The sequence below is a fragment of the Homo sapiens genome, chromosome 3 (assembly GCF_000001405.40).
Source record: "Homo sapiens chromosome 3, GRCh38.p14 Primary Assembly".
NCBI lineage: Eukaryota > Metazoa > Chordata > Mammalia > Primates > Hominidae > Homo > Homo sapiens.
In genome coordinates, this window is record NC_000003.12 from 181,949,497 (window position 1) to 181,970,166 (window position 20,670).

The window sequence follows — 20,670 nt, forward strand, 5'->3', positions numbered from 1 at the left end:
TTTCTTTGTGGGTCTCACAATCATTATTTTAAATCCTGGTTTGGCAGTTTTTGCAATTATATTTCTAGCCTGTTAATAAATAATACCTAGTCTATTAAATCTGTGTGTAATAGGGATCTATTTTCATGGCTGAATTTAAACATTTCCAAAATCATTACTAAACACAGTTTAAAAATATTTAGTGAAACATTTTGTTTGGTGTGGTGTAGACTGCAAGTTTTCATACTTTTTGCATTTATAGGAACTGGTAAATATCTTTTGGGGAACGGCATGGAAGTGACATATTAGTAAAGCCATTTAAATAACCTAATTACCATCTACTACTATATCAGAGAAGAAATGATATTTTAATGTAGAAAATGTAAATGCATTTACTTTTCTAAAAATTAAAACTCAGTTTGAGATGTGCAGACCCTATGTCACTTTAGAAATGTAAAATGTCACATAGCAATTGTAGAGGATGTATTCTGGGTAAGAAGGATAAAGCTGAGAATAAGTTTGCTAATTTTGCCCCAGACTGATGAAAACATCGTCATTAACCAGCTCCAGTCCTTCAGTATCCACTAGATAAATGCATGTCTTGCTTCTTAGCCATTGTATTTTCCTTCACTTATTTGTGGGCTCCTAGAAGGGAGAAGTCATGTTTAATTCATCTTTGAAGTCCTAGTGCTTAAGACTGTGCAGTTAGAGTAAATGGAATGATTGTGAGAAAGCACACTCCATTTCTGAACTACTTTCTTTTCACTTTGTCACTCAACTTTCTCTAAGTTGCTCTTTAAATTGGTATTCATTATTTGAGCAAAAGATTTAGGTCACAGAGTTGGGGAACAGACCATTTTTATGCAGTTACAAACTTGATTTTCAAGATCTGGCAAGATTGAAGAAAGATGTTTAATATACATTATCTTTACATCTAGCAACTCAAACCATAGAGGAGCATGAACACAGGATTACTGTTGTACAGGTCATGTTAGAACTGCTTTGCAAATTTGGTCCCTACTTTAATGTCCCATTGCTATTTTGTGTTTCCTCTACCAGAGGCTCCATTCTCTTATCTGTCAAGCTCCTCCTCCTCCTTTAAAAGCCCAGGTCAAATGCTCCTTCCTCTACGGAGACTTTTCCCCCCTTTTCCTTCAATGTCTCTAAACTGGGCAGAAGCAGTCATTTCCATCTTCATGCTCCCATTATGATCTGTTCATGCCTAAATTTTATCACGCCATTGTGCTTTTCTGTTAAATATATAAGGGTCTATCTTTGGTGCATGTTGAAGTTCCCTGAGGGATGGGGAGGGTTATTATCTTTGTCCTCAGTATTTAGTACAATATATGATCTAGGGTAAGGAACTCATACACTAATATTTTTAGGGCCTTTTAATTTAGGATCATCAGCTATACATATATATATTTAAATCCTTTTTGTTCTCAGTGGCTGCTAAGCTAAATCCATGATGATATGCAACAAATCCAGGATGTCCTTTTGAATGGGTTCTTTTGGCTGGGTGGCTTCTCAGGCATCTTCAGCCATTGTTAAATGGCTTCTCATGGAAGCCATGAGAAGGCGTTGTGGGTGGGGTGGGATGGGGCTCTTGAGGCAGATGCAGTACCCAAACTCTCTCTCTCCACATACTGTTGTAAGGAGGGTGGCTTGGTTCTCAACCCATTGGTCTTCCAAACCCAAATATGTTTAATCACCTACAAGTACCACTCATTAGACTACCCCTAAAAACAATAATTAGGTACCACATTTCAATGTGAAGTGATCCATGTTACCATTGTTTCTTCTGCATAGTGACTCTCCCACTGCTGGTATTGTGACAGCTAAATAAAAAGGCCAGTAATATGTGGGTTTCTGTTTTTTGTTTTTTTACCTTGAGGAAACAAAGACTCTCCTGACGTAATGAGATACTAGGAATCTGAAAAGAGCCAAACAGAACAATAGATTCTTTTTTGTATATTATTATTATGAAGCCACTAAGAAGGAATTATTCAGCAATAACATATGGGAGACTGGTTATTGTTACAACTTTCAGCTCATCACTAGGGGAAACAACAAGTTGTTCAAAGCAACCTGTGAGGGGTGGATTACCAGAAATGCACATAAATTGTTAGAATTGACACTGTCTCTTGGCTGGGCACAGTGGCTCACACCTGTAATCTCAGCACTTTGGGAGTCCATGGCAGATGGATCATTTCTCTTGAGATCAGGAGTTTGAGACCAGCTTGGCCAATATGGCAAAACCTCATTTCTACTAAAAATACAAAAATTAGCCGTGTGTAGTGGTGCGTGCCTGCAATCCCAGCTACTTGGGAGGCTGAGGCAGAAGAATCACTTGAACCCACTAGGCAGAGGTTGCAGTGAGCCGAGATCATGCCACTGCACCCCAGCCTGGGCGACAGAGTGAGACTCTTGCCAAAAAAAAAAAAAAAAAAAAAAAAACCAACATTTTCTCTCAAAGGCAGAAATTAACAAGCAACAAAATGCTAATAAGAATCTCTCAATGCACCTTTCAAACAAAACTCTCTAGTGTTAGCCCAAAGTTTTAAAAAAGGGCAAACTTTTTTTATTAAAAAAGCGTTTGGCCGTGTTGCCTTGTACATGACTTTTGGAGCCCTCACTAAAAAGCTGTTTACCCTAATTTCCCAGTAATGTCTTCATTTCTTGGTCAGGAGATTTAGATTATCTCATTACCAAGATCCTGATTCATTGGCTTGAGGAGTTAGGTTCCCCCCACAAAAGGTCCTCTCTGTCCTCTGGGAAGTAAAAAAGCCACATATAACTCCATATAACTGCCATAGAATGCCCAGACAACTAAACTGACATCTTACCATGTGATTGGTCTGGTGCCCAGGAGCACCATGGGAGAGAATTTGAACGCTCTTGGCAGTTGAGATTCAGACCTTGACAGTTGTAACCGATAGACTGGGCTGGGGCAACGCTGATGAAAGGCAAATTCCTGAGAGAAAAATCACCCAGAGTAAGGAGTTTGGCACTGTAGACTAGATTCAGCTGCAGGAATTGTGCACTAGAAAAATGCAGTGTTTCTTTTTTTTTTTTTTTTGAGACGGAGTCTTGTTCTGTCGCCAGGCTGGAGTGCAGTGGCACCATCTTGGCTCACTGCAACCTCTCTCTCCCGGGTTCACAAGATTCTCCTGCCTCAGCCTCCTGAGTAGCTGGGATTACAGGCACCCACCACGATGCCCGGCTAATTTTTAGTAGAGACAGGGTTTCACCATGTTGACCAGGCTGGCCTCGAACTCCTGACCTCATGTGATCTGCCCGCCTGGGCCTCCCAAAGTGCTGGGATTACAGGTGTGAGCCACTGCGCCCGGCCAAGATGTGGTGTTTCTAATGGCAGGCACTTGAACCCAATTGAACCCTGAGAGCTCTCTGAGAGGGCTGTGTGTCTTGGGAATGAGAGAGTTATGAGGTAAAACAGAAAAAAACATCATATGGGGCCCCAGCCATTTGAGAATTGGGCCCTGGAAGAAAAAATGTGTTTCCCTGTTGGGTATTGGGTGGAGAGTGGTGTTAGGATTGGAGATTAGGAGGCAGAAGATAGGGAAATACAGGCAGGGGTAAGAACAGATAGCACAGGGCCCTGCTGGAGGGCAGGAGCGGGGCAGCGCTCCCCGACGGAGCTCTGAGGTCCTAGTGAGCCTCACATTATTAGGCTCTGAGTGCTGGGGGGATTTTTCAGAAACAAAAGAAAAGCTTCTAAATTTTAAAGAGTGACTAATCCATGTGAAAGGATGGGACATAATGACCAACAATACAGGGCAGTGGCATTTTTAAATAGTGCCAACAATAAGAGCACTTGTAATTCAGAGGGAGAAGGGGTTTCTGGGAAGATGGTTAGAAGGGGCTTAAAGGAGGCTTAATTGAAGAGCCTTAAAAGAAAGACCAAATTTAGGTAGCTGGAGGGAGGAACACTGGGGGCAAGAAAAATTCATAAGAGCTAAGGTGTGCCTTGATTCTGTCAGCTCCATTGGATAACTCTGGTATGCCACCTATTATGACCATTGTGTTTAAGTTTTTCAGTGCCTTCTCTAGCTTTCTAGAAGTTGTTATGAGTGGACCTGACTACCTAGAGAGAGTAATACAGAAGCTCCGTGCCGATCACAGCTACCTCATTACCATGTTCCTCCAAGATGGCCGCCCCTGAGGAGAATCATCAACTGGGCTTTACGGAAGAGAGAAATCCAAACGACCATCAGCAACAAATGAAAGACTGAAGTTGAAAGGCAAGTCTTCAGATTTGAAGTAAGAGCTGTATCCAGTGTGAGGTTATATTCTGGAAGGGAATGAAATTTCTGAGGTGGCAAGATATCAGTTAGTAAACTAATTTTGTCACTGTGGCTATTTGTATAACTCACATGTGTGTACATTTCACTGCCTGAGATGAATACCTGTATCTTGGTTCCCAATTGGTTCTATCTTAGTATACAGAGTTACTGTAAAATGAAAGACGCAAAAGAACGACAAGGTTAAGAGAATTTTCAGATAGATGATCAGATGCAGAACCAGGGATTCAGAGAAGAATGAAGTCTTTCTCCTCCCATGTCCTCCTCCCACTGGGATATCATTAAGAAGCAGTTGGAGAAATATGTCTCAATAACCTTGAACTCATCCCTGCCCTGATCCTTCTGGAAACTGAGAATCAGTATGACATGTATTGATGAATTAATATTCTAGGCAGGCTAATTCTATTATTCTGCCCAACTCGGGAGAGAGAGAAGAGTTTACTATGCAATGAAAATAATTTTCTCCCAATGTCATCTTCGCCCTTTGGACAAGTGTAGTGAGCACCAATTGAAGGGGTTGAGAAGTAAGTGGTCAGGTAAATGGCTTGACAGATACTCTGTTCCCAGTCACACTGCCTTTCACTGTTAAGTCTATTTCTCCCTAAATTATCCATGCTGGCTCTCAGTGCAACATGACTCACTGATTCTTCACCAACCCTTCAGTTCCCTTGAAGTAGCAGGTGGTTAAAAGTTTGCTGCCGATTATAAACCTCTGACCTTCAACAGCACCCTCTTCTTGACTGCTTCTGAATCTGGTGTTTTAGCAACTAAATATCAGAGATGTTGTTAAGTGAGTATTTTGGGGTTTTGGCTTCATGTTTGGTCCAAGACATTATGAAAGGATAAGGGATTCTATGGTTATTATTTTAACTATATTCTATGGCTATTATTTTTGCAATAAAAATACAACTACCACTGTCCCAACTTTACCACTCCCCACTAAAGATCAGCACCAAAAGGGCTTCTGGGGTTTCCAGGCAACAGGTTTATCAAAGATACCATCAATTTTAAACTTTAATTAATGTCTTCCTCTTTATTATTATTATTGTATATATATTTTTTTACAAAGTCCATAAGAATTTCATGGCTGCAGTCTCCTAGAGGAGTTCTTATGATTCATCCAGCCTGAAAGAGTGCCTCCTTATGAGGTCAAGGCTTTCAGAGCTGTATGCAGCCTGTCACCTGGACCTCCTGGCCCTGCCCCATTTCAGGTGGGTCACTGCATGAACTGCAGGTATTGAGAGGATCTTTGCTTTTCTACTTTAGCTGCTCCATGGACATAATCCCCCATCCCCGCTTTACATTTTCATTCTTTTACATCCATTGCCTGAATGTCAGATGCAGAACCAGGGATCAGAGAGGAATGAAGTCCTTCTCCCCCAATATCTTCCTCCTACTGGGATATCATTAAGAGCCAATGAAGGAAATACATCTCAATAACCTTGAACTCTCTGAAAATCATGGGGTTAAGGGAATTTAACAGGGGTGACTACTGGTTTCTCTGGAACTCTTCCCGCTTCGAGCTTCTAGAATGTGGGCTGAATAAAACATGTGGCTTTGCCTGCAATTGCAGGGAGTCCAGAGCCACAAGCTTCAAGCTCTGGAAAGAGCCATTGGCCTGGGATATTGGTTGTTGTTAAAATGTTAAGTGAAACAGGCAGTTTAACATGCAGCAATGAGTTTCACTTACATAAAGAGGAATATGTATAGATAAAAGATCTGAATTCAGTAAATTAAAGTATTCACAGCTGCATTGTAAGATTATAGTTGATAGTTTTCTTTGTTTTCCTGCACTTCCCAGCCCACAAAGAGCATGTGTTATTTTTATCAATAGAGTTTTAGCCTTTAAGAAGAAATAACGTAAGGGTAGGAATTGTGCTTCTTTCATTTCACTGTTGTGGTTAATGACTTCTATGGTGGACACCTGGCCCAGCACCTGGGTAATCTAGCATTTATTTCAGTGCTTCTTGGGACAGTTGAAACAGTGGTGACTAAGTGCCAGGAATGATACTAGGCGCTTTACATAGGTTATTTTTAAGTCATACTATCAAGGTAGGTACTATCCCCACCTTAATCTTGTAGACAAAGAACTTGAGGCATACAGATTAAGTAACTTATCCTAAATTACCCAGCTAGTAAGAGTCCAGGCTAAGTTTTGAGCCCATGTCTATCTGGTTCAAAATGGTTTCAAAATGGGCTTTCACTATTTCCAGCATGACTACCTGATTCCTAGTCTTAGAGCTTTATCTCTTGTCTCTGCATGTAAAACTCGGGTCTGTTTTTACCCGTGTCACTGGGTTGATTCACCCCTAAAAAAGCATTCCTCTTGCTGGGATAGTTTGGTGTTGTCATGAAGAGGCCCCCTCCCAAATTGAAAGCTGTGTGGCAGCCGGCCTTCAGCCTGAACTCAGACTTGCTTTCATTTACTCATTCACTTCCCTTTTGTTGTGAATGTTCCCACTCACAGGCCATGGGTACACCCAGACAGAGTGAGGGTGTGGTCACCAGGAGATCACTGGTGTCCCGCAGTAGGAGTGAAGCGGCGGGGACACAGCACCCTCAGGCTTCTGCTGGTAGTGGCTCAGGCAACCCTCACCTGACCCTTCTGCCCTCAGGCTGTGGGAAGGCTGGAGCCTGACCTAGATTTTAGGGAAAAAAGAATTGAGGGCTTTCTGAGGTGAGGGTGGAGGTGAGGCAGGGCAGATAAGGCGTCTTCTCTTTAAGAGGGAAGTAAAGACTCAAATAATGAAAGGAATCAATTTAGAGTAAGTTCTTCATGTTTTAGCTTGGCTGGAGGCATTCTGGTTAATCAACTATTCTTAACAAGGGTGGTGGTGTGTGCTATACGTGGCTGAACGCTTTTCCAGGGATTATAAACACAATTAAGTATGGGTAAAATCCAAACTTCACTAAATTTAATTAAATTTTTCTTTGATGATTCGTAAGACCTTCAGGATCCTGTAGTGCCTCAGGGTCACCATTAGGTTTATCATCATCCTTGATGAGGTGGGGCAGCTGAATAAAAGCAACAGATTTAAAATTACAGATCGCACTCCCACCCTGCCTACTTGGGTGGTATTGGACAGGTGACTTTGACCTCTGGAGCCTCAGAGTCTCTTCCAAAATAAGGGTGGCAGCATTACCTCATAGGGTTGTCATAGCAGAAAACTATGTGCATGAAGAATATTGTCCTTATCATCATTACTATTAAGCTACAAGGACATCAAACTGCCAGCTGATACAATGTCTTTTTTTTTTATTTTAAGCATGTTTCAAAGCCATTTACTTTGGTCTCCTTTTAAGGAAAATGACTTCCCCAGCAGCAGGAATTGCTGAGAAAGTGATATTTAGTCAAGTGCTAAGAAGAGTGCTATAAAACATTGTTTAACCTGCAGAAGCAGTATAAGTCTGTTGTTAAAAAAAAAAAAAAACACTAAAGAAAAACATGCTTTCTAAAAAGTTCACTTCTACTCTAATTGTTTCAATCTTCTCCAGAGGTAAGCCTTTCATAATTCAGTGTGTACATGAGATTTAAATTATACTGTTCATTATTGTTCTGTGACTTTGCTTTTTTTTTTTTTCAATTGACAACTTAGCTTGGGGATCTTTTTATTCTTTCTGAGAGCTGCATCTGCATAGTCTTTCATAAGATGGATGAATTTCATCTTGCTTATCTATTGCTCTGTTGATGGACAAACTGCCAGCTGATACTAATGATAGACATTAGGCTATTTCTAGTTTTTCTATGGCAAACAATGCTGTAATGAACACAGAATGGCATTCATGCACTAACTCCATTGTAGCCACTCATTAATTGTTTATTAACCTCAGGCTGCCTTAACCCATACTTCCTAAAACATGTTCTTCTTGATCTGTAGGTCGCTCCAAAGAGACAGTATCAAACATGAACACAACAAGTGATTTTTAAAAACAGTCTGGTGATTTCTAATAAGTCTGTACACTTGTGCAACTATCACCACAACTCAGTTTTTAGAGCATTTCCATGACCTCAAAAAGTTCCCTTACACCTGTTTGCAGTCAATGTTCACCCCATGCAAGATCTAGGCAACTACCAATGTAATTTCTGTCTCTACAGTTTTTGCCGTATCTAGAAAGTTCATACAAATGGAATCACAATTTGTAAGACTATGTATTGTGTTTGGCTTCTTTTCCTTAGAAAAATGTTTTTTGAGGTTCAGTCAATTTGTTGGATGTATCAGTTATTGCTAAGCTGTGTTACGTTACAGAGATGTACCACATATTGTTTGTTCATTTGAATTATTTCCAGTGTAGGCCTATTTTCAGCTTATGCCTATTACGAATAATGATGCTACAAACATTTGTGTACAAGTTTTTATATGGGTAGGTACCTAGGAATGGAATTATGAGAGCTTGTAAGTATGTAATTAACTTTTAAAAAGAACTGCCAAACTTTTCCGAAGAGGTTGTTTCATTTTACATTACTACCAGCAATATATGTGAGTTCTAGTTTCTCTATACTCACTAACACTTGTTCTTGTCAATCTTTTTTATTTTAGTTTAGTTTATTTTTTGGAGATGGGATCTCTCTGTGCTGCCCAGGCTGAAGTGCAGTGGTGTGATGATAGCTCACTGCACCCTAAAACTCTTGGGCACAAGGGAGCCTCATACCTCAGCCTCCCCAGTAGCTGGGACTACAGGCACATGTCACCATGCCTGGCTAATTTTATTTTTATTTAAAAAGTTTTTTTTTTTGGAGAGACAGGATCTCACTATATTGCTCAGGCTGGTCTCAAACTCTTGGCTTCAAGTGAAACTCCTGCCTCAGCCTTTCAAAGTGCTGGAAATACAGGTATGAGTCACCGCACCTGGCCAGTCTTTATTAATTAATTAATTAATTAATTTGTTTATTTAGTTTTTGAGACAGAGTCTCACACTGTCACCCAGGCTGGAGTGCAGTAGTGCGATCTCTGTTCATTGCAACCTCCGCCTCCCAGGTTGTAGCAATTCTCCTGCCTCAGCCTCCCAAGTAGCTGGGATTCCAGGCGCTCACCACCACGCCTGGCTAATTTTTGTATTTTTGGTAGAGGTGGGGTTTTGCTATGTTGACCAGGCTGGTCTTGAACTCCTGACCTCAGGTGATCCACCTGTCTTGGCCTCCCAAAGTACTGGGATTACAGGCATGAGCCACCATGCCCGGCCCAGTCTTTTTTATTATAAATATGCTAGTGGTTGTGTAGTGGTAACACATTGTCATTTAAACAGGCATTTTCCTAATAACTATTGATATTGGCTACATTTTCATGTGCTTGTTAGCCATTCATATACATTCTATGGTGAAGTGCTTATTGAAATCTTTTGTCAATTTTTTGCTTGGCCCATTTGTCTTTTATTTCTGTGAGAGTTTTTAATATATTTTAATACAAACTGAGTATATATATATATATATATATATGCACATTTATACGTTACATTAAACACATTTATACATGTTACATATATAGATACATGATCTATAAATATATTCTTCCAATCTGTGGCTTGTTTCCTCATTTGCTTAGTGGCGAATTAGAAGAACAAAAGTAATTTTGATGAGGTATAAATTAGTCAATTCTTTCTTTTATGGATCATGCTTTGGGGGCTATATCTAAGAAATCTTTGCTTAACCTCAAGGTCACAAAGGATTTCTCTTCTATTTTCTTCATGATTGTTATGATTTCGAAGACTAGATGAAGCTAAAGTTCTCTATAGGCCCTCCTGAGGCTGAAATCAGAAGGACCATGGAATGAAATCTACAGAGTAGTTCTTCCCTACCTTTTCAGGGTAGTTTTCACAGCTTAGCTAGATTCTGTACGTACAAAATCAACCAAAGTTGCTCTTATTATTGACTCCTCAAAAATTTTTACTAAGAAAAAAATGTAAGATCATGTTTATTTAGGAGGATTAGGAAAGATTTCCTTTGAGAAGGTCATATTTATGTCCTAAACCATGAATAGAATGTTCTTCTCAGTGTGTTATTTTATCAAACAACTGTAGGGCGATTTCTCTCAGGCAGTAAAAAGGCATTTCCTATTTACCATGGTTTTGACATGCCATAGTTTCACTTGCTTCTCTTTATTCCCAACAACTCACTTTATTTCTCTAGGTAATAAGAGTATTATTTATTAGCCTTTAACAAGGTTCTGTGTGTGTATGTGTGTGTGTGTATGCACATGAGTGTGTGTTTGTGTGTGTACTCTAGATGTACATTGCTCCTGATTTTTGGAACTCTTGTTAGCCATTCATATACACTCTATGGTGAAGTGCTTATTGAAATCTTTTGTTCAATAAGCATCTCATTTATTCCAAACCTTCATTGATTATAGCATATACAGGTCCTCATTCTTTATTTGAAATTCTTAGGGCCAGATGTGTTTTAAAATTCATGGTGTTTTGACTTTAGAAAGATAGAACAGTGAATATGCTGAATTAATATAATATTCTCAGGGAGTCAAGATGACTAATATTCCATACTATGAACATATTAATCTTTTTAAACATCCTGAATATTTACAAGATCTGAAATAAATAAAGACTATAAATGAATTCACATCAGTTCAGATTGGATTTTGTAACATGGATTCAGGTCTGGTCAGTTTCTGGAGGCAAGTAAGTTATTTAAAAAAAAAAAAAATCTGTCCATTTAGAGCACTTTTGGATTTCCAAATTGAGAGTAAGGGCTTCTGGATTTGTGTTTCCTAATGCACTACACAAGCTACCTGTTGTAGTATATTGGGTTCCTCAGCCTTAGTGGACCACTGCTGGAGCTGTGAACGGTGTCATGTTCTAGAAGACATGGGGAAGCATAGACATTGGTGAGGCTTTCAGTCTGAGAGAGTTTTCTGAAAAAAACGTTTTGAAGAGAAATAATTTCCACTGTAAACAGTGCTGTGGTTTATCTTGTCCTCTTCTGGGGGAAGATTTTCTGCCATTTGAGATCAATATGTGCTTTTAAAAATAATTCCTTATCTCCTACTAATTCTAGTGTAGCATTTGCTTCATGTCACAGACTCTCAGACACAGATGCCTAATACATTTTTCTAGGGGTGCCTGGATTCCTGGCTTGGGGTGAAATTATATCTTATAAAATGGAATTGAGTCAAGCTGTGGTATATTTGAATCCCATAGAGAGCTAGATTATACGATCAATGGCAGCTCACAAACACATTTTAATCAGCAAGCAGTTTGGTGCTGACCCAACAGCACCTGTGCAAATCTTTGGCCCATGTTCCCAGGAAAAACAAGAGCTTCCTTGGTACCCACTACTTCTTTCCTCTTGAATAGGAAGAATCTTGTCATTTCATCTAATGGCACTCCAAGAAAAAATTACAGAAGCAATACATACTTATAAACAAGTAATACATATAAAATATTTATACAAGTAAATTATATGCAAAAGTTTATGTAAATATATAGAGTTAAAATGTAAAAGCCCCTCATTGCAACTTTCCCACGTCATCTCTGCTACCCTCTTCAGAGGTCACCAGTTAGGGTAACTTGCATGTGTTACTCTATGCCGTTTTCTTTGTAACCGTGTATGTGCCCACACACACATACATTCACACAGTTGTGTTTATAGGCAAGTGGGTCATAGTCTTCAAATTGTCCTGTCACTTGCGTTTTTTTAACCATCTACTGGAAACATCTTTCCTTGACACTGTTATCCTTTTGATGGCTGCAGAGCATTATCAGGAATGTATTTCACTCAGTCCCCAGTAAAAAACCCGTAGGCAATTTTTTTTAATTACACAGTATGCTTCAATGACCTTCCTTATTCATATTTTTTGCACACATGTATTTTCATAGAATAGATAGTAAAAAAAAATTTTGTTGTTTAAGAGCCCACTCCCAATAGTTGCTTTAGTAACTCCAAATTTCAGCATTTACCATGTCCTTCTTTTGCTTCTCCAGAAAAGCAGTTTGGGGGCATTGCTCATCTTTCCTGGAACATGAGTTTCTATTGGGGTGCAAATGGGGACAATAAAGAGGTTTATTTTTGTTTACAAATTTGGTATACTTCTGGTTTTGCCTGTTAGCTATTAACTTGATGTCATAGTCTTTTATTTCCTCTCATATATAGGACAGGTCAGATAAAATAAAACAAGAGTTTGCCTTTAGCTGTGTAAATTGTTGCAACCTTTTTCAGAGGGCCCTTGACAATATCTACTAAAATTTAAGATGTTCATGCCTTTTGACCCTACAGTTCTATTGCTACCTGGCATCATGGAAATTATTTTGAGACCTGAAAGATTTTGTTAAGATATGAATCTCAGCAGGTTTTAGAAACCTGTTTAAATAGTTCATTTCATGCAAATGCTGCAAAACACATATAAAACTAAATGTTTTAATTCATAGAATCACAAAATTTTAGAGCCCTAGAGTTTAAAGCTATAAGGACTTTTTGGTACTTTGAAAAATGAGGGGATTGGATTAGATGATCTCAAGTTTTTCCTTTAATTCTTAGCATTTTGTGGTCTGTTGTTCCCAGAGAAAAGATAATAGTAAAGGTAGAACGATGACAGTGATCCGTGTAGTACTAGTGGAGGAGCCTTTGCATTTAGGACAAGCCCCTTTATTGCTTTCATTCCTGAGGTAGAAATTTTCTCTTCATTCTTTATTATTGTATGGTCTTGATCTTTTATGTGTGCAAATATTTCCGGCAGCTTAGAGCATTCTTTGACGTGGCTTTATTTTCATAATTTTTACCGAGGAAGGTTAATTGGTGGAGACGTAACCAAACTAAGAAACAGGTTATCTTTCTGAGTATGAAGAGTGGCTGCTAGTTAACTTTTAATTGCACATGTGTAGTATTTTCTTATGGAGTAGATGTTACCTGATGTAATTGAAGACCGTTCAACATTTGTTCAATATTATAGGAGGTATAGCAGGAATTGTGGCTGCAGAGATAAATGAGGTGGAGTCCTTGTCCTTAAATAGGTCATATTTTGGACTTAAAAAAATCCAGTGACACTGGGGACAGAAGTAGGGTCAAAGGGTGAAACTCCATGGTGACAGCTTTTAGCATAATTTAAATATAATCCAAATGAAGCTAAACTCCTATCAGCCTTGGAGTATAAATAAGGTCTTAAAGATTATGGACCTAATTATGATGATCCTTTGTGCCCACTTACATGATCATAGGACACCAGCTTCCCCCTCCATCTCTTCCAGTTTCTAGAATAGGATCAAGTGCACGCAAGCTCTCTCAATCTGGTAACCCATCATGTCACCTTGCCTCTGGCTTAGCTGTGATGACAGTGCTTCATTGGCACAGGTTTCCTCTGCTGAGCTGTTAGTGTTCCAAAGACACACCATAGTCTCTGACAGAGCTGGAGAGGAATGGTCCTCTTCTCAGCTCTCGGTACATTTTGTTTCCTGGGCCCCACAACTGCCCTGCTTGTTCCTCCAATGATGTTCTTCAAATTCTCCCTCCATAATCTTCCTCATCATGGTGGATCTAAATCAGTTCCCCAGGCTGTGTGACAGGGCTGCATGGGCTGATAGCATGCTGTCTCTCTGTTCTCCTTGCCTGTTTGTTTTTTCCTCATTTTTCCTCTGTAGTTTCTTGCAGGCACTACTGTCTCTTTTAGAGAAAAGCAGGTTCTTCATGCACATCTCTTCAGGCAAATAGATGCCCAGGAGCATGGCCGGCTTACTGGTTCCTCAACAGCCAAATTTCAACATAGACCATGTCTTATGTGACTTTGTATCCCTAATGTCAGCTAATTGCTTGCTACAGAATGGACCTCGAATTCTTGTTGAATTAATGAGTCAATGTTTGTTAAAAAGTACATATATTAATTCCATGAAGATAGAACAGAGGTTTCCCAACTTCATGGTCATGCCCACATTTGTAAAACACTTGCCCAAGATTAAAGCTATATATTGTCTTGATCTACAATATGGTTTAAAAAGATTAACAAACAATTATTTGGAAAAATATGCACAATTAAAAGCAAAACAACTTGTGCTACCCCCCAGGAAGTTATCAATATTATGGAGAGGAGCAGATACCTGGGTGAAAGGAGACAGGAAAACTGGGAGTAGGGGAGAGAGGGAAAATCGTTACTGAGGATTCCCACTGGAACTCCTGGCCATCTAGCTCCCAGGTTCTAACTCTGCGGTGAGCAAGTTAACTTTCTGGTTTTCTTTAAACGGAATGTTTCTGAATAAGCAGTCAATTCACATAGTCTGACAACCCCTACTCAAAAAAAGCTTCCTTCTATTCATTTCCTCTTGTCACCTGGCTCCTGGAGGGGCGTTTTATAACTACCAATGCAAATTTGCTTCAGATTGGGGCCAGAGAGAAGATATGGAGACTTAAAACTTTTAGTCCCTCAGGCAAGGTCAAGGCTGACTGACTTGTTTAGGGAAAAAAATCTGTGATCTTGGTCTTGTTAGTCTTATGTTCAAACATACTGAGCTTATCAGCCTGGACAAGGAGCCCTGATTGTTCACAAACCAGCAGACTCTCAGAGGTCTTGCCCTGTGCTTTAAAAGATTTCAGCAACAGTTGGATCTGGTGTTTGAGTTCTGAGGAAGCTATGCTTTGATGAGGACATTCCCATGGTGGTACAGAAGCAAGTCAGAGCCAAAAGCCAGGAGGGAGAGGGGGCACTCAAAGACTAGGAGACTGAGCATGAAGAGCCAGTACAGAAGGTCCCAGATGGGCCTGGAGTCAAGGTGCACAGGCGGGAGTGGGTCTGGAAAGAGAATGAGTTGGGAGAAAGCCAGGAGGGTCCAGCATGATGGCTATGAACAGGTGAACACCCCACCTCTTCCTAGGCTTGTGTTTCTTGCCAAATAAGTGGGCAGATGTGTGTGTAATAGATAAACTTCAATGGGCCAGAGGTTGGTGGGGAAAAATATACCTCCAACAAAATATAGCTTAACAAATGAAAGAGCTAATGAAACTGAAATTACTTCCAATCAAGAGACCACCTGGGTATTTCTTTTCTTTTCTTTCCTTTTCTTTCTTTCTTTCTTTTTTTTTTTTTTTTTTTTTTTTTTTTTTTTTTTGCGATGGAGTCTCTCTCTGTTGCCCAGGCTGGAGTGCAGTGGGGCCATCTCAGCTCACCGCAACCTGCACCTTCCGGGTACAAGCAATTCTCCTGCCTCAGCCTCCAGAATAGCTGGGATTACAGGCACCTGCCATCGTGCCTGGCTGATGTTTCTATTTTCGGTAGAGATGGGGTTTCACCATTTTGGCCAGGCTGGTCTCGAATGCCTGACCTCAAGTGATCCATCCACCTCGGCTTCCCAAAGTGCGGGAATTACAGGCATGAGCCACCTCGCCTGACTCCACCTCGGTATTTCTATGTGACCAATAAGATATTTGAGCTTTAATAAAACTTTTAGCAGATTTTATATAGTTGTTTAGAAAAATTGTCAGTTAAAAGAATTGACATTATCAGCAAAAACTGAGTGACATTTATCATTTTCTTTTAGTGAATACTTTCTTTTCCCTCTTTATGGTATGACATTTTATTATTGTTTTCCCTGGGTTATTTTCTGAAATAAAAATTTACTTAGATATAAAGTCACCTGATTTATGTTAATTTTTCAATTAAACATTTAAAATGTTAATGCTTGATTTAATTTAAAAAATCACTGTGTTCTTACTGTCAAATAGTTTATAAGATTACCCTCTCTCTTTTCTTGCTAGCACTTGTCACGTCTGTGAGTAGCTAATTTGGGTTTTGTTTTTTACTCTATACTATATATAGAGAGAAATAAATACTATATATATATTAGGATAGTATAGGGTATATATAGTATACTACACTATATATTTAATACTATATATAAATATATATAGTATAGAGTAAAAATGTATACTATATATACTATAGTATATATAGTATATATTTTATGTATTACACATATATGTGTGTGTGTGTGTGTGTGTGTGTGTGTACTATAAGCATCTTCAGGGCAGAACTATACTGATCTTGCCCATCTTTTTTATTTCTAGCACCTTGCACAGTGTCTGGTACACAGTAGGCACTTAATATTTTCTGAGTGACAGAATGAAGGAGATGAGATGAGATGAAGTGATTAAACCAATGAGCTGCACCTTGTAAAGAAGGCTGTGGGTGTTATCAGAGTACAGAGCAAAGGGTGCTGACCCTGGAGGTCAGGAAGCCAGCAGGGAAAGCCTCTTAGTGGTGGTGTTTTTTGACTGAATCCTCTGAGCCAGGTGAACAAGAGAGTGACAATAGTCCAAAGGAAAGCATGGGAATGTTGGGAACTGCTACTCATTTGACATTGGCTGGAAGAGGGAAACTTTCTGTGAGAAATGCCAAAAACAGTAAGAGGTGGGGCAGGGTGCAAGGTCACAGCATAAAGGAACCCATGTGTGCCAAGGAGTGTGGAGTTCTTTCAAAGATGGTGGGGAGCCCTGACGTCACTGTGACAACAATAGAAAGGTCAGATTGAGAAGGAGAGACTGTGAAGGGACTCTGCTTAGGACACCAATGCACTAAGCCAGGCACCCTCTTTTTTTTTTTTTTTAACTTTTTTCTTGAAAACTTTATTAAAATAAGGATTAAACCTGAAAAAAGAACAATCAGAATGCCAGCCCTTTGTATAAAATCATCAAGAAAAAGGAAAGAAAGAGAGAAAGAAAGAAGAGAAAAGAAGAGAAAAGAAAAGAAAAGAAAAGAAGTCAGGCACCCTTTTTAATTTCTTCTCATCTCTCTCTCACCGACGCTCTCGACAGGGGAGTGCTCCACCCCCACAGTCTCTTCTTTTTCTCTGTCCATTCACTTCCATTCATGCACTGCAAGAGGGCTCTCCGCCCTCCCATTGTAGACCCATGGTTCTTCATTCCCCACACTTCACAGTCACACTGCTTCCCCTGGAGCCCCAGTCACCTACTTACTCAATTTCAGTTTTCAGTCTTGGTTTTGTGAGACTTCTGGACCACTATATTCTCCTTAAAGTATTTTTTGAATTGGTAATTCCTTCATAGTTCAAACCGGGAAAGCACAAAACAGAGTGAACAGTCTCTTTTTATCCTTGTCCCTCAGTTTTCCATAGGCAGCCACTGCTGTTAGTTTCTTATATATCCTCCCAGAGGTTCTTCATAGATATATTAGAAAAAATGCAAATTTATTTGTATTTAAAACAAATAAGAATATAGGTTCTTATTTTTTCCCTTCCTAACAGAAAAAGTAGATATTGCTCACATCGTTTGGCTTTGCATTTTTTTAATTCAACAAATGAAAAAAATATACATGTGTAGACACTGGGCTTCTCATGGGCATCTGACACTCACTTTGCTCTGAACTGAACTACTTCCCAAAGCTGCTTTTCCTCTTATATTCTTTGATTCAGTGGTCCTGGTGAGTAGGGGTTATGTCCATTTATCTAATCTCTTAAGTCAGAAACCTGGTAGGCATCCTTGACCACTCCCCTAACACCATCTAAAATATCAGCAAGCTCCACCTTTTCCCCTTCTTCATTCCTACCATCATTGACTGAATCTAAGGCTTTTATCCTTCAGGAATCCTTTGCTGAAAGACTTCTCCCAACTCATCTAGTTGTTCAACGCTGCAGCATTTTATATATATACCTATATCATTGAAGTTGCCGTCACGACTGATTTATTAGTTTGTGCCTTTCACCAGGCTGGGCAGAGATGTACCAAATTCATTTTTACTGATAAGAACATAATGAATGCTGAATGAATGAATACAAGAATAAACAGAAGACGTTCAGAAGAAAGTTCACTTGGTAAACAATTGACAGTCTTAGTGACTATTTTTATGCATTGAAGCAGTGAGAGGGACCAAGGTATCTCAAAGGATCCAAGGTTTTTGGATTGGCTGCAATGAGCAGAGATCAGTGCTATAGGAAGGAGAAAGGCTTTCTTTCACTTTTAGACATGGCAATATGAGGTTTTCATGGGACATACAGTCAGTGGTTGTACATACGATTTGAGAGCTTAAAATAATCTAGAGAAGTAAGTTCAGAGAGTTATCAACACCTATGGTGGTTGATGTAAAAGTGTGGTGAGATCCCCTTAACATAATGTATTGTGAGAAGAAAAATGAAAAAAGAATCCTGGAGATGACCAGCATTTAGTGGGGTGAGGAAGAAGAGAAAAGCAGCAAGTAAAGAATAAAAGGTAAGAGTGTTGTGCTGGAATGCAAAGGAGGAGAGGATTTCAAGTAGGTGGTTTAGGGGTCAGGAGTGTCAACTGCTGCCAAAGTGTTCAGCAAGATGAGGACAGGGGTTTAACCACTAGATTGAACAACTCGGAGGCCTTTGGTGACACTGGCAATGCCCATTTTAGTGCAGTGGTAGGTAAAGAGGTGACTCAGAGTGAGAAAGTGGAGGCCGGGGGGTAGAGGACCCTTTCAGGAGGCTTAGCTGTAAAAAGAAGAGGCACAATAGCTACAGGGGCATGTGGAGTTATGGCAGGGGGTTATTTTTAAACTTTCTTGAAATTATAAGTAGAGTTCACATTCATTGTAGAAAATTGGAACAGTACAGGAAAGTATTAAAGCCGCAAGGGTCCAACCACGCTAATCCAAACAATGCTGCCCTTTTTTTTTTTAAACTATTCCTTCCAGTCTTTTTCTTGCATTTTCACTGAGTTGAGAAGAGACCAAATGGGTGATTGTAGCCTTTGCTTCTGCATGTACAGAGGATTTGGCTATAGCATCTGTCCCCAAATTAATCACCAGGAGTGATTTGGCTGATCTAATTGGCTAGATCCCTTTCCTCCCTGACTGCTCCCTGGATATTTCTCCATATGGAGTTATTTAATTAGACAGAAATAAAACTTCTTTCATAAATTCATTCATTAAAGATTTATTAGTTGTCCATCATGTGCACTGTGTTATAGCTGCTGAGGGATGGAGTAGTGAATAAGACAGACACTTATCACCTCATGATGTTTGAGTAGTGCCATTTGCAGACAGACTTCACTTCCGCCTCTATGATATACAGATATTGCACTCATCTGTTAGACAGACAAGGCTCCAATGTTTACTTGAATGACATTCTCACTTGACAATATTTTCCCCTGACATTAAAAACTGCAGAAATGTCCTCATCATAAAACTACCAGGAGCACCTTTGAAATTAAACTGGCTCCATATCTTAATACGATTTCCCTAGTACTGATTCCTAGAAGAATTCATTGGGTCAAAAGATCTGAACCTTTTAAAGGAGATTCAATATCTTTTGTCAGATTGCTTTCCAGAAAGGTCCTACTAATTTACATTCTTTAACAATGGTATACAAAGATGCCTTTTTTACCAGAGAGAGGATTAATTTGTTTATATGGTGAGTTGACTGAGCCAATAAAAAGGGAAGGGATAAAGATGAAGAAGATGGGCCAGGTGCGGTGGCTCACACCTGTAATCCCAGCACTTTGGGAGGCCGAGGCGGGCAGATCACTTGCGGTCAGGGGTTTGATACCAGCCTGGCCAACATGGCGAAATCCCATCTTTATTAAAAACACAAAAATTAGCCAGATGTGGTGGCGCATGCCTGTAATTCCAGCTGCTCAGAAGGCTGAGACAGGAGAATCATTTGAACCCAGGAGGCAGAGGTTACAGTGAGCCGAGATTGCACCACTGCACTCCAGCCTGGGCAGTAGAGCAAAACTCTGTCTCAAAAGAGAAAAAAAAAAAAAAAAAAAAAAAAAGATGAAGATGGAGCAAGATCCCTGAGAAGTAGTATTGATGGAATCTGGAGATGCTAGAAGTTGGTTTTGTAAAGGAAGCCAGATATCTCTCCCAGTGAGACAGAAGTCAAGGTGTGTGGACCCACAAAGAGTGTTTGTGTGTATGTGTAGGAGGACGGAGAGCCAAGGGAGTTCCTAGTTGATGGCCTTCACTCCCTTCCCATGCTAGGAGGCAAGATCATCTTGACAGAGAAGAGTAGATAAAGGGAAGTAGGCGCATAGCTAGGGGAGAGGAACTATGTAGAAAATGGGACACCGTCTAAAAGGTGCAGATGCCCAAATAACATAAGGTCTAATTGTGTTTATAATTATAAGCAAAAACATGATCAGTGTTACTAAAACTCTGCTTACAGGGTATAGTGCAATTGAGAATTGGCAATTATTTTATTAATTTGATGAATGTTCCAAATTAAAAACACCAGGTCAGCGTATGTTTCCGATCTAAATTATACAGTGCAGTTGACTACAGTGACCAAATTAACCAGCTGATTGCCAAATCTCTATTTCTCCCTGTCCTCTGTGGACATAGCTTAAAGAACTAATAACTGAACAAGACTCTGCCCCAATCTATTTTGGGATAATTGATGTCTTTGTATTCATATCCCTGCAGCTTGGTATTAAACACTGAAGCTTTGTGTAGAATATGTCAGT

At 39.6% G+C, this 20,670-nt stretch overlaps 1 long non-coding RNA gene and 1 pseudogene across 1 annotated transcript in view; both read left to right on the plus strand.

Annotated features, from left to right (window-relative positions):
* The first annotated feature begins 2,867 nt into the window (after nt 1-2,867).
* Nucleotides 2,868-20,670, plus strand: part of LINC01206 (long intergenic non-protein coding RNA 1206) — a 58,315-nt gene continuing 40,512 nt past the window's right edge. The window contains exons 1-2 of the long non-coding RNA NR_104146.1: nt 2,868-2,974; nt 4,051-4,241. This is a non-coding gene — a long non-coding RNA (long intergenic non-protein coding RNA 1206). The remainder of the gene's footprint in view (nt 2,975-4,050; nt 4,242-20,670) is intronic.
* Nucleotides 18,963-19,185, plus strand: RN7SKP265 (RN7SK pseudogene 265; annotated as a pseudogene).